Source organism: Homo sapiens, chromosome 20 (genome assembly GCF_000001405.40).
Source record: "Homo sapiens chromosome 20, GRCh38.p14 Primary Assembly".
NCBI classification, from domain to species: Eukaryota; Metazoa; Chordata; class Mammalia; order Primates; family Hominidae; genus Homo; species Homo sapiens.
In genome coordinates, this window is record NC_000020.11 from 16,715,223 (window position 1) to 16,730,015 (window position 14,793).

The 14,793-nt window shown below is 40.5% G+C and overlaps 1 annotated feature.

Annotated features, from left to right (window-relative positions):
• Window positions 13,915–14,783: an enhancer, noted in NCBI's record as "H3K27ac hESC enhancer chr20:16709782-16710650 (GRCh37/hg19 assembly coordinates)". NCBI's record gives its function as "activates a minimal SCP1, AML or CMV promoter by ChIP-STARR-seq in primed H9 embryonic stem cells {active_cell/tissue: H9 hESC(primed)}" and the evidence as "EXISTENCE:reporter gene assay evidence [ECO:0000049][PMID:30033119]".

A 14,793-nucleotide genomic window follows, 5' to 3' on the forward strand; every position in this document is an offset into this window, starting at 1 on the left:
GCACAGCGGGGTGGTTCGCCCCAGAGCCCCCTCCCTAGTGACTGGAATTTCCTCCAGTGGCCTAAAATGAAAGAATTTTTCTCTAGTCTTTTTTCAGTGGGATTTTAATAGACGCTTAGAACCATATTAGAGCGAAAGGGTGTTTGGGGATTTTACAGCGTGCAGTAGTAGCATGCAGAGACCTGAGCATGAGGGTTGCCTACTTCGTCCCACAGCTTGCCATTTTTTGTGTTTGTTTTCTAGCGAACTTTTTATTAAGTATAACATACTCAGATAAAATGCACAAATGATAAATATACAGATCAGCGTCTTTTCCACAGAGCGAACACATCATATCCCTGCAACCAGAACCCAGATTAAGAACTCCACATTCCCGTCGGCCCAGAAGCCCTCATTGAATACTGCTCCTTTTCTTTCCCAGCAAGGATAACCACTACCCTGATTTCTAATAAGATAGATTAGTTTCACCAGTTTTTGAAATGTATATAAATGAAACCATACAGTAAGGCCAATTTTGGCTTCTTTCACTCAACATTATGCTTGTGAGATTCATCCAGGCTGTTTGTGTGTAGAAATAGTCTGTTCATTTTTGTTATTGTCTTATACTCTACTGTATGAACGACCTACATTTAATGTTTATCCATTATACTGTTGATGGACCTATGAGTAATTTCCAGTTTGGGGCTATTATGAATATTGCTCAGAACATTCTAGTGCTTATTTTTGTTGTTTTTCCATGTGCCTGTGCATTTCTGATGAGTATTTAACTTAAAGTGGAGTTTCTGAGACATAAAATATACCTATGTTCAGCTTTCTTTTTTTTTTTTTTTTTGAGGTGGAATTTTGCTCTTGTCACCCAGTGGAGAGCAATGGCGTGATCTCGGCTCACTGCAACCTCTGCCTCCTGGGTTCAAGTGATTCTCCTGCGTCAGCTTCCCGAGTACCTGGGATTACAGGCAACCACCACCATGCCCAGCTAATTTTTGTATTTTTAGTAGAGACAACATTTCACCATTTTGGCCAGGCTGGTCTCAAACTCCTGACCGCAAATGATCCACCCATCTTGGTCTCCCAAAGTGCTGGGATTACAGGCGTGAGCCACCACACCCAGCCGTATGTTCAGCTTTCATAGATAAATGTAAATAGTTTTACACAGTGGTTGTAAAAATTTGCACTTCCATCAACAATTGTCTTCCTCATTTTAGCCATTCCGAAAGATGTGATACAGTTTGCTTTTGAGATTCAAATAACTGAGGAATTTTTTTCCTTAGTGGAAACATCCAATGAGCTGGTTGATATATGTGCCTCTTGTTCTGCTGCTTGCTGCCAGGGCAACCTGTAGGACTCTATCTGCCTGGAAATAATTAATGCCTAAAATGGAATGATATAAAAAAATATGAAGCAAGGACTCTGACCTCAAAGAGCTCACACTCAACTTGGAAAGATAGTAACTCTACACACGACACTAGCAGGCCACAATGAAGTACTGAAGTGTTTGGGAGTACTGTTAAACGTTTGCTTAATGTTTCTGAAATGTTGGTACTAAGGGTAAAATGCAAACAGTGGAATCAGTCCCCGAGTACAAAGAAATGAGAGATGGCAGAACATTGGCACTGGGAAAAGCCTCAAGAAAGAAATGGAACTTTGCTGAGCTGTTTGAGTGTAAGATGAAGAAAACTGAAATATTTCAAAACATTTTTTTGTCATGCACATTGCTATGTATATGACACTGAGCAAATATCTTAATATTGACAATGGCCTAAATTGCTGGCTTTGTCACTTAACATCAGAAATACAAGTTACATTGAATGTTTCAGAACCTCTTGAAGTTTCTAATCATCCTCTTACCTCTTACATTAGCTGTAACTTTAGTGATTATGTCAAGAGAGTGAATTGTGCTTTGAAATTAGGGGAGGTTGAAAACATGGTTTGTGTGCTGTCAACTGTTTAGGGTGGAGAAATGGATTCTACAAAATCTGCTTCCCACCTCTGATTTCAAAATATTGAAGTAAATTTCACATTTCTTGTAGGCAATTAAAAAGGACAAATGTTGAAATTATATATCACTAGAAAGGTCTTTATGATCCATGTAACTTGGTGGGTAAATATTTTAAAAATCTCTTAAGTAGTAAATTTGACAGAGAGGGCTTCTTGCTTCCAAATATTAATTTTTACTCTTCGCCTTCAGATAGCAAAATCTTGGGCAACATCTCCTGCCAAGAAACTACATTTCCTGGCCTTTTTGTTTTTTAAACTTGGTGAGCCCATGTAACTGAGTTCTAGCCAAAGTAATACAGATGGAAGTATAGTTTTGAAGCCTACCTAAAAGAGTGGGGGCTAGGCACAGTGGCTCACACCTGTAATCCCAACATTTTGGGAGGCTGAGGCAAGAGGATTGCTTCAGGCCAGGAGTTTGAGACTAGCCTGGGCAACAGAAGGAGACCTCGTCTCTACAAAACAGAAAAAGAAATACAAAAATTAGCTGGACATGGTGGCATACGCCTGTAGTCCTAGCTACTTGGGAGGCTGAGGAGGAACACCTGAGCCCAGGAGTTCAAGGCTGCAGTGAGCTATTATTGCAGCCTCGGTGACAGAGCAAGACCCTGTTTCTAAAAAAAAGAAAAAAAAAAAAGACAGTGGGCAAAGCCATTCTCCTTCCTTCCTGCCTGGAACTTCAGCAGCCATTTGGGACTGTGAAGTCACCTTTTGAATGAAAGCAGAAAAATAGACCAAGAAAATAAAACGGAAAAGTAGAAGTTCTCTCAGTCCATGAAGACTTTGTGGAACAGCCTTGAACTGCTGATCTTCAGGTGTCTTTTACATAATAATCCTTTGTGAGTTTCAGCCACTGCAAATGAGTCTCTGTTGCTAGTAGTTGAACACAGCTCCCCACTGATGTAGATGGATAGAAATGTAGAATCCATACTTTCTCGATCTAAAGATTAAGAAGTCCATGGATTCTGATGGCGTTTTCTTCTTCACGGGATCCCCAGTGGAGAGGGATGTGCAGTCTACCTCTGTGCTTGGCTTCCTCCACTATTTGTGACTGTAACTATCAGGCTTGTCCAGTTTATTCCCCTTCCCTTCAGTTCTGGGTTGATCGCAAGACTGTGGGGAAAATAAGATGTATTAATGTCTCTCTTCACATAAAAACTGCAGACTCTGTTATGGCCTGTATATCAGAGGCATCCATGGAACAAAAGGCTCGAGGCACCTTGAGGAAAGTCATGGTGACCCCCACCCATGAAGAAGTGTGAAAAAGCCATTCCTCTAGAAAGCCCATGAAACAGATGATATTTTCTAAAAGTGGCTATAAGAATATCTCTGGTCCCACGCAAACTTCCAGAAATGTTCTACTTCCCTCATCAAGACTAGAATCTACGTCCCCTCCCTTTCAACCTAGGAAGGTCTTTGTGACTATCTCAATTAATAGAAGACAGCAGAGGAGATACTACATGACTTTCAAGACTGGGTCATAAAAGACAATACAACTTCTGCCTAGCTCTGTGTCTAGGAACAGGTATGTTTCTAACCCTGTAAGAAGCCTGCTACCATAAAGTCACCATACTAGAAAGACCACACAGAAGTAAAGATGCCCATGAAATTCAACTGCTCCAATCTGTTTAAATATTGATGGCTCAGATACCAAACATAGGAGTGAGGAAGTCAAGATGATCCTAACCCCAGCCACTGTCTGACATGAGAGATCCTGAGCACCAACCACCTAGCTGAGCCCAGTCAACCTTCAGAACTATGGTCAGGTGTGGTGGCTTATGCCTGTAATCCCAGCACTGTAGGAGGCCGATGGGGAGAATGCTTGAGCCCAGGTGTTTGAGACCAGCCTGGGCAACATGATGAGACTCCGTCTCTACAAAAAATTAAGAAAATTAGCCAGGTGTGATGGTGTGTGCCTGTGGTCCCAGCTACTCAGGAAGCTAAGGTTGGAGTTTCCTTTGATCCCAGGAGGTCAAGGCTGCAGTGAGCCATGATTACGCTACTGCGCTCTAGCCTGGGTGACAGAGGGAGGCCCTGTATCAAAAAAAAAAAAAGAAGAAGAAGAAAAAAACCAAAACTCCCAGAACAATGAAAGATAATATAAAATGATTATTATAATTTTGAATCACTGATTTTTAAGATGATTTGTTCACAGCAATGTAAAACTAGATCAGCCCAACAAGCTGAATGCCAGGTCTCTGAGATGCCATTTCTTCCTGCCCTACATCTATGCTTAGATACCTGCAGAGGTGTCTCTGGTAGGTGGTCCTTCCCAGTTCACCTGAACACCTCCAGTAACAGAGATTCACTATCCTTGGGAAGCCTGGATAATTTTTTATCTTCTCTAAAAGCTGAAATTCTGTCTCCCTCTGGCATCCACCTCTTGTTCTTAGCTCAGAGGTGTGGGCCCATTCAGAGCAAGCCAGATTCCTCCTCCACAAGCAATCTTGAAACTACTTAAAGACATCTTTCTTGCTTCTTGTGGGTTTTTGCTTCTTTAAATACTAAGTATGCTTTTTTATGTCATTAATCTCTTCGTGAGCACCCCTGAGGAGCTAAGAGTGAGAGAAAATGGTATGAAACAAAAAGCTTTTTGTGCAAAGAAATCTCCAGATTTCTAGATGTAATAGAAGGTGAAAAGGCAAGATGTGAAATTATGTATTCACTAGAATTATAATTATGTAAAATAAACCTATGAAATAGGCTTCAAGGAAATATCCCCAATAGAAATATTTAACTGAAAGTGTGATTTGCTGCCTGATTTTCGAAACTTTTTATACCATTGTTAAATTACTTACATATAATGCATTTGAGATCTTCTGAAGAGGGAAAGGATGCTTTTCAGCCTAGGGAAGGTGAAGACACTAATGAAGTCTTTCATTTCATCCAGGCTTTCCAGGCTTGCCAAAGTGTGCCACACTTACTCTCAAGGGCTTTTACCACATCTACAAAGAAACAAAATGAGTGTATTTAGTGCCCTTGCTCAAGGTCAGTCAAGCTGACCTATCAGGTGACTGCCCACAAGTCAGTTTATCCAAACAAGTAAACCAAATTCACTGTTCCAAGACCATCCGATTTTTCTCTCCCTTTTCTCCTTTCTCTTATAAATCCTGTATTTGCCTTGGTTCATTGGACGTCTATGGATTATCTTCCTTGTAAGAATAAAATTTGCAAGCAAAAAACTAAAAATCTCTTTTTAAAAAAAATATAAAAAGAAAAGCAAACCTTCAATGACTCCCCCTTTTTTAAAAAAATTATTTTACTTTAAGTTCTGGGATACATGTGCAGAATGTGCATGTTTGTTACATAGGTATATGAATGCCATGGTGGTTTACTGAACCTATCAACCCATCATCTAGATTTTAAGCCCCACATGCATTAGGTATTTGTCCTAATGCTCTCCCTTCCCTTACCCCCCACCCCCCGATAGGCCCTAGTGTGTGATGTTCCTCTCCCTGTGTCCATGTGTTCTCATTGTTCAACTCCCACTTATGAGTGAGAACATGTGGTGTTTGGTTTTCCGTTTCTGTGTTAGTTTGCTGAGAATGATGGCTTCCAGCTTCATCCATGTCCCTGCAAAGGACACGGAACTCACACTTTTGTATGGCTGCCATGACTCTCCATTTTATAACATCAAAAACAGAAGCTGCTCACTACTATTTATTCAAGTTCATTTCACATTTCTTTCCGACTCTAACATTCTGGCAAAGTTTATTCATTTGTCCCCTGAATGTGACCGACAAATTCTTATTTGTCTCTATCCGTCCTCAACATGCCTGTGTGGTTTTCTTTAATGATTCAAGCTCAAATTCCTTCTGTATGTGTGTGTATATAAATTTATAAGCCAAGACTTGACAGTCCATGAACAGAAGTGTCACTACCCATTCAACTGTTTGATTGTAAAATATCACATACTCTGTTCAAAGGGCCCCTTTCATTGCTATCGGGTAGAACCAAAGCTTTGCTATTGGGATTTATGTGATGTGAGAGCAGGAAGGAACCTTGAAGAGACCATTCAGAGCAGCCACTCATTTTATAAATAAAGGCCTCAAGGCCCAGAGCCGGTAAGTTAATTGTTCAACTCACACAATTAGTAGCATGAAACAGGGCCTTGAGTTCAGTGCTGTGCTGGGACAGCTTGTTCTAGCTTGAGACTCAGTTTTCAAGTTTTCAGCAATTTTTTCAGCCAGCTGGGGTATTTACACCATAGAAATTGGCAGACTAAAAATTGGGGCATTCTTCTCTTCTCCTATCCCTGGAGAGCTGGTTGTCGAGCATTTATCAGCACATCATTGACCTTGATTTTTTCTCCATTTTCTTGAGAGGTTGAATGGAGGTCCCTTGGGTCCCTCTTTTTTCTCTGTCATAGTAGCCAGTTATCCTGCGCTTGCTTGTCACTCAGCAGGGTACAGTTTCCAAAACATCCAGGCTCACCTATCCATCTGTCTGCTTCCCATCTCCACCTGGATATCTTACAGTCAACTGAAACTTAAGCTATCCAAAATAAAACACCTGATTACCTACCAGCCGCCTCTAGCCTGCCGCTGCCCCAACACTATCCATTACTATTCCCCAGGTATTTGCTTTGGAAACCTGGAAGGTGCCTCTTGATTATTCCTCCCTTTTCCTTATGTTTTGTGTTGAATTGTGCCCCCGCACCCCTCCTAAAATAGGTAACTGTGACTGTGACATTATTAGGAAATAGGGTCTTCGCAGATGGAATTTGATGTAAATTGAGTTAATTCTGGAGTATGATGAGGCTTTAATCCAATGTGACTAGTGTCCTTATAAGAAGGGAAGAGACACAGAAAGAGATACACATGTAATGACAGAAGCAGAGACCAGTGTGATGTATCTATAAGCCAAGAGATGCCAAAGATTGACAGCAATCATCAGAAGCCAAGAGAAAGGCACCGAACAGATTCTCCCTAGAGCTTTCAGAGAGAGCATGATCCTGCTGACACCTTGATTTCAGACTTCTGGCCTCCAGAGCTAAGAGAATAAATTTCTGTTATTTTAAGCCACCCAGTTTGTGGTAGCTAGATATAGCAGCCCCAGGAAATAAATACACCTTCCAACCCTCACCCCCTCCATGTTCAATCCATCAGCAAGGCTTTGAATCATGTCTCTAAATAGAACTGGGATCTATCTACTTCTCTGCTGCCACTTTAATTCAGGCCACCTTCATCTCTACCTTGGACACTGCCACCATTTCTTCACTAGCCTAGACTTGACCCCTCCATTCCATTCAGAAAGATCCACACATAGCATTATATCATGTCTTCTCCTGCTTAGAAGTCTGATTTCTATTGCTCTTAGCATAACCCTCAAATGCCTTAACATGGCTTACAAGATGCTAGCTGATCCTGGAAATCTCATCTCAGTCAACTTTCTCTCTCATCTCCTGTGTTCCAGCTGTAACTGTCTGCTGCTTTTTTTTTTTTTCAGTTCCTCAAATTTGGCAAATTCCTTTCCATCTCAGACCTTTGCAAGAAGTATTCTCTGCCTGAGGAACTCTCTATTGCCTTCCTCCTACTTACTACTTTTCTAACTACCAGCTCCTTCTTACCTTTAAGTCTAGAAAGCCTGCCCCTCCACCAGAATAGTCTCTTCCTTCCCAGAAGTGGTCTACAATGTAAATTTTCCATTCTCACATCAAGTAATGGAGTCCAATTCCCTTCCCCTTGAATATAAGCTGGCTGGCCTCATAGCTCACTTGCAGCCAACAGAAATTGCTAGAAGTTTTGTTGTGTGACTTTCCAGGCAAGTTACAAAGCATCATGAAGCTCCCACCTAATGTTCTTGGAATGCTTGGTCTGGGGGAACCTGGCACCTATGTAAGAAATCCAACAACCCTGAGACCACCAGGCTGAAAACAACCTGTGGAGCTGCTCCAGTTGACAGTCCCATCTGAGCTTAGCCTTTTAGCCACTGCTACCACTAAACATGGGAGTGAAACTGTTTGGATCCTTTAGACCAGGCTGTTCACCTGCCACAGTCTGACTGAATTCCTGATCTACTGGATTCATAAGGCATAATCTAACAGTTGTTGTTTTAAATAATAACTTTCTGAGGTAGTTTGTCATGCAGCAATGGTAATGGGAGCACCTCCATAGTAGTTATTCAGACTCCCAAATGTTGACATGTTGGTGTGACATCTGTGAGATGGGAAGCTCTGTGACAGCAGGGACCATGCCTATCTTCCTCACTACTGTATCTCCAATAGCTAACATAGGATTTGCTATGTTGTAGGTGCCCAATAAAGGTAAAACACTAAAGGTGCCCAATAAAGGTAAGATGTAGGATTTGCTATGTTGTAGGTGCCAAATAAAGGTGAGACAGTCCCAAAGTCTTAGTATGGTTTTAGGTTACTTAAAGTATTTAAAGCTTGACGCTGTACAAAGACTTCTGGGATATCCTATGTTAACCGAAGAAAGGAATGAGCTCTTTCCATCTCAGCCTCTTGTAATGGAATCTGACATTTGCAATTTCAGTCACGAGGAAATAACTTAGAACTAATTTCTTTCAGGCTTCTAAACTGACCAGTCTTATTCATAATCTTCTACTGAGATGACAAAATGTATTATAAGTTATATTAATATCTTTGGAAAGCTGAAGTAATTTGGTAACATTAAATGTCAGGAAGTAGCTTCATATTAAAGCTGAACAAAGACTATGATTACAGAGAGACCATCCAATATCAATAAGAGACAAACACAATTTCTTATTTTTTCAGCACCAGTTTTAATAAACTCATTAACTCTTGTGATGATGTTTCTGCCAGTGAATGATAGAGAAATTTACAATACTTGAATTGACCCACATTCACCTTAAAATAGAATAGGAAATATCAGCCTCAATTACATAATTGTTTTGGATTCTCTAGACAGAAATAATTTTCAGGGTTGTCTTGTCCGTGCATAATCTGCAATTCAAACTAGAGGCTTCATAATTTTTCTTTCAACTTCTTTGTGATAAGAATCCAACCTGTCTCCTGAGTTTAAATCTTGCCTGATATGTTTTATAAATATCTGATCTTGTGTTGCAGGATGATTCTGACCAACCTAAAATTAGACTGTGAGCATGATATCTCTTTATGTCTTCAGAATCCTTCTCTAAAGGTTTGTGAAAATGCTATAACCACCAATTCTTCTCTAAGCTTGGCCCTAACATATTTTCTCACATATAGTCATCTTATATAGGTGCTTAATAAATGTGGGGTTAAATCACTCGATAAAGGTCACTCAGAAGATGGATCATATAGCTAAACATTGATTACTTTGGTTTTTTTTTTTGGAATGTCAATTAGGCAGAAAAACATTGATTACTTTGACTTTCCCTTTAAAAGGTATGAGTCACCTCAGATATATAACCTCTTATGTACTAAAAACAGTTTATAGTTGTGAAATAGTCCAAAATTCTTTCTTTCTTTTTTTTTTATTTTTGAGACAGAGTCTTGCTCTGTTGCCCAGGCTGGAGTGCAGTGGCACGATCTCAGCTTACTGCAACCTCCGCTTCCTGGGTTGAAGCAATTCTCCCTCAGCCTCCCAAGTAGCTGGGATTACAGGAGCATGCAACATGCCTGGCTAATTTTTGTATGTTCAGTAGAGATGGGGTTTCACCATGTTGGCCAGGCTGGTCTTGAACTCCTGACTTCAAGCAATCTGCCTGCCTCGGCATCCCAAAGTGCTGTGATTACAGGCTGGGTGTGAGCCACCACGCCCAGCCAAGAATTATTTCTCAGAGGTGATTTTGATCAATGTATAAAGTCAGGAGGCGCTAGGCTATGCTGCATTAACAAATATCCCCTAAATATCAGTTAATTATTTCTTGCTTTTATTACATGACCAGTTTGAATTTGTGTGTGTGTGTGTGTGTGTGTGTGTGTGTGTGTGTGTGTGTGTGTGTTGGGCAGGAGGAGGGTGTCCTTTAATCATTAGTGCCTACACTTGACAGAGGTTCCATCTTGCAATATGTTTCCAAGATCACAAGGACAGGAAAAAGGGCACCTGGCAAATTGTGCACTGGCCTGTGATGCTCCTACTTGGAAGTGATGCATGTCTCATGCTCTCACAATTCATTAGCCAAAGCAGTGACTTGGCCATGCCAATTTTCAAAGGATGTAGAGTAGTGCAAGCCCTCCATGAGCCTGGAAGGAGCAAGAATCACAGTATTTGTGAAGAGCTGAAATGACTACCACAAATTAGAAAGTGACCCAGGGCTCCCCAAATAAGCAATCACCTGTTAAAAAGAATAAATATTCCAGACTTTCTTTCTCTCCAGGTTTATGTCTACATGCCCAGTAGAAGACAGTTAAAATAAAGTTTCAAATAAATACGAGCTCCTTTGAAAGAAATAGTTGATTTGTGTTTCAAAAGGAAGATAGTATTCTGTATCTGGTAGTATCTCTATGGCTCTAGAGATAACTACAGTTTGATACTAGAATAATCTACCAACCATTTTTTTCTTTTTTCTTTTCTTTCTTTTTTTTTTTTTTGAGATGAGGTCTTGCTCTGTTACTCAGGCTGGAGTGCAGTGGTGTGATCTCAGCTCACTGCAACCTCCACCTCACAGGTTCAAGCAATTCTCCCACCTTCCCACCTCAGCCTCTGAAGTAGCTGGGACTACAGGCATGCACTATGGCACCAGACTAATTTTTGTGTGTGTATATATATATTTTTTTTAATTTTTTATTTTTTTAATAGAGATGGGGTTTCACAATGTTGGTCAGGCTGGTCTCAAGCTCCTGACCTCAAGTGATCCACCCACCTCAGCCTCCCAAAGCTCTAGGACTACAGGCATGAGCCACCATGCCTGGCCTACCAACCATTCTTTTTTTTCTTCTTTTTTTTTTTTTTTGAGACAGAATCTGACTCTGTTGTCCAGGCTGGAGTGCAGTGGCATGATCTTGGCTCACTGCAACCTCCACCTCCTGAGTTCAAGCGATTCTCCTGCCTCAGCCTCCAGAATAGCTGGGATTACAGGCGCCTGCCACCACGCCCAGCTAATTTTGTATTTATAGTAGAGACAGGGTTTCACTGTGTTGGCCAGGCTGGTCTCGAACTCATAACCTTGTGATCCGCCTGCCTCGGCCTCTCAAAGTGCTGAGATTACAAACTGAGCCACCGCGCCCGACCCCAACCATTCTTAAAAAAGAAATGCTTAGGTTCTTGCTACCCAAAATGCGGTATGGGACCAGCAGCATCAGCATCATCCGGGAGTTTGCTACAAATGCAGCTTCTCAGCACTGGATTAAGATATCTGGGGAATGCCCAAGAAATCAACAATATATCACTTTTGAAATTACACAATCAGGGCCTGACAGTCTTTTTTTTTTTTTAAAGCTGTTCTTTTTAAATTTTGTGTTTTCAAACTGTCCTAAGGCTTAAGACTCAAAAAAAATTACAGGGATTAATCATAGGGGAAGCAAAACCCATTATATTTAAAAGTTGTGTGTGCATAATATTTTATTTCATGGGAGCATCTCATGGGACTGAAATCTTAATTTTCTAGTCTCAAAGAGAACGACAGTTGTATGATGCTACTTTAGCTCCTTTAGGGAAGGGCAGGTGATACAATACTGAGCACAACCTACATGTCTCACAAAAAGTTCACCAAAAAAGTTCAGGTTTTCCCCACACTTCTTTGGATTAATGATCAGGTCCTCAAAGAAAAACTACCATTTCCAAACTTTATGGAATGTGCACATTCTCATAGCCTATCTGAGACATCACCCATTCTGGGGAGAGGGTATTTTGCTGCATGTGAAAGACACACTATTCTTAACATTAATACAGTAGTGAACATCAGAGGCAATAGTCATATTTGGGTTTCTTTCATTCCTAAAAGCAAGAATGTATCCACAAAGAATGAAATGTAAGAATTAAGTAAAATGAAAGAAAATTGCACAAAATTATTTCCTCCCTGAATTGGGGGTGGGAGAGTGGTGCTTTTTAGGAAGTTTCAGTCAACATTATCCCAACCTCCCTGGAAAACATAAACCTGATTTGGTGCTCAACAATAACGCCTAGATTTGTTTAATGCTTGTTGTGAAAATAATTTCACTCTAGATACATTTCTTAATGTAATCACCACCTGGGGAGAGAAAGAAGATACAAACGAATTGCCATACATTTTGTGACTCTATGTAACATAAATAAGACAAAATTTATCCACCAGTTTTATGGTGCATTTTCCTTTATACATGGCTCCTTCTTAAAACTACTGCAGCAAGATACCAAAAACAATTAATGAGAAACATAAAACACGTGCAGATAAGGTAGGGAAATGTATGTGTATTCAGAGTCACTAAGAGACACCTCAGTTATCTTCCTTATAATTTAGACATCTTGGCACAGTTTTATTCCCTACTGTTTGTAGTAATTTTTCTGCTACTCCCAAAATAAGCAAGTTTTATCATCTGCAAATACATGACACTTGGATAGGGTGGTTATAACGCTGCCTCCTTGTTTCTCTCGATTAAAAAAAGCCTGTTTCACAGGAAAATAAATCACGATACCTAACCCAAATGTGAAAGAACAGACTGAGCAGAACTAACAAAACTCATTTGCTCTTCTAGTTTTTAAAAATGTGAGTTTTGGACATCTGATTCCTGATCTCACCCTCAAGAAGTGGATCTGGTTATAAAGTGATGATGTTTTACAGTACATGTGACCATAGTTTAGCTGCTATAATATTCTTAATATAGTTACATAGCCAGGCTATGCAAGGTTTCTCACAAAACCAGAAAAGCTATTCGATCCTTATCATTCCCTTCCTGTACTGTTCTCAATAACTGGCTTCTCAAATCGTTCAGGAAACCACTGAGAATCATTAACGGGTTATTGGAATGCCCAGAGTGACTGCCCAAGGACAGGAAAATGCACTGGCTCTTTTTAGAAGAACCTGGAAAAGTGCATGCAGACCATTGCGGCTGAGTTGGCAATGGATGATTTCCTTCTCACAGTGTAATGTACAATAGCTGTAATTTAATTGTTAATAGAACACAACATGCAGTCTGTCTTCAGGCCTCTGTGTTTCTTGTGGTATTTTCTTCCCAGGTTGGAGTGTTTTTGTATAATCACATCTTATTCTCTTTTAACAGTTATCAACTCTTGGCTAGATCCCCTTATACAATACAGAGTATAGTTTATTCTCAGTAGTGTAGCCATCCTCATTATTATCAAACAGAACTAATTGCTGAGATGCTCATAGTAATATGCAAAACAGCTTGTCCTTTGTTATTTAGAAATTGTTTATATTAAGTTTATATTCTCTTTTAATTTGTTAAAGATATAATTCTTTGACTGAGATAGGACATTTCTTCTCATTGGTTTATTTATTTTAGAGATGAGATCTCACTATGTTGCCCAGGATGATTTTGAACTCCTGGACTCAACCAGTCCTCCTGTCTCAGCCTCCCCAAATGCTAGGATTACAGGTGTGAGCTACTACACTCAGCCATTTCTTCTAGTTTTAGATCTATATAATAAAACGATGCTTTTCTGTGATCCCTTAACATTCTCTACACTCAGGTGCATGTTCAAAGCATATTTGTTTTACTGTTGCCTAGTTTTCCATGTCATTCATTGAATTATCCAATGCATATTAATTATCAGTCACTTTTCCCATTACTAAGGGTACTTGAGTGAACAGAGCAGACAAAAACCCCACCCTTAAAAAGCTTATATTATTTTCAAGTTGTTGCAACTTTGGGTGTTTTTAAAAAATAAAAATTCCCAGCTGATAAAACCAACTTATTTGACAGCTACCTGCCTCACCAGTAGAACCAAGTTATAGCCAGAATTCAGAAATAACATTTTTGAGCATTTATTGTGTCTGACAATGTGCCAATCACTTTACATTTATTTTAGCTCATTTAATGCTTACAACAACTAGAAGGAGGTACTATTAGGATCCCTATTTTACAGATGAAAAAAGTGAAGGTCAGAGAGATTAGTTAAGCAGAGGGTACAAGATTAGGTTCCAGTTGACTCTTAACAACCATTTCATATTCCAGGTGATGCTTTACAGACATCTGATGAATGGATGGATGAATGAATGCATGCACTTTGGGAACTCCCATTCAGCTTGGCATAAATACTAACTCCTTAGAATACCCTAGAAAAATCTAGACCTTTTGTTGGAAGAAAAGAGTGGGAAGGGTGGTAGGGAATTATTTTTTCGAGTGAATTGAGGCAGATGATCTTACAGATGACTGGGTTCTAGTCAGCATGGTTGCCTTATCTGGTGAGAGATGAGAATTGGGCAGACACCAGTTCTGTCTGCCCTGGGCCCTCAAACTGAGTAGCCTCTGAGATTCAAGTTCATCAGCACAGTGTTGGAGGACAGTTCCTGCAGAGCCCCATGAATCAGAGGAGACTCGGAGGCAGGAGGAACTGGCTATCCTAAAGGTGATTTTAAACCGGGGTAGCTAGAGCCCAAAGAAGGGCGAAACCAGGACTAACTGCCCCATAGCATGAGGGGCAGCGCCTGTAAAATTACATAGGATTTGTAAAGGTGGAAGGCACTGTTGCGCCGGGTAAAGCTTCGCAAGGTCGTGGTAGGGGAAATGATTCACTCCCCTTCACTATTCCCTCGCAGCATGGTCCTCACAACCCCCTTCTCTTTCCCCATTTCCATTTCCGGACTCTTCTCCTGCCCGCAGGGCAGACGCACGCGCAGAGAGATTGCCAGCCCTGGCTGCCAGAGACCCGGAAGCATCGATCGGCTCTGTGCTCGGCTTCTAGACTTGTCGGCGCTCGATTGAGGAGCGTGGCTACGTTGCTTCCGGTGCCT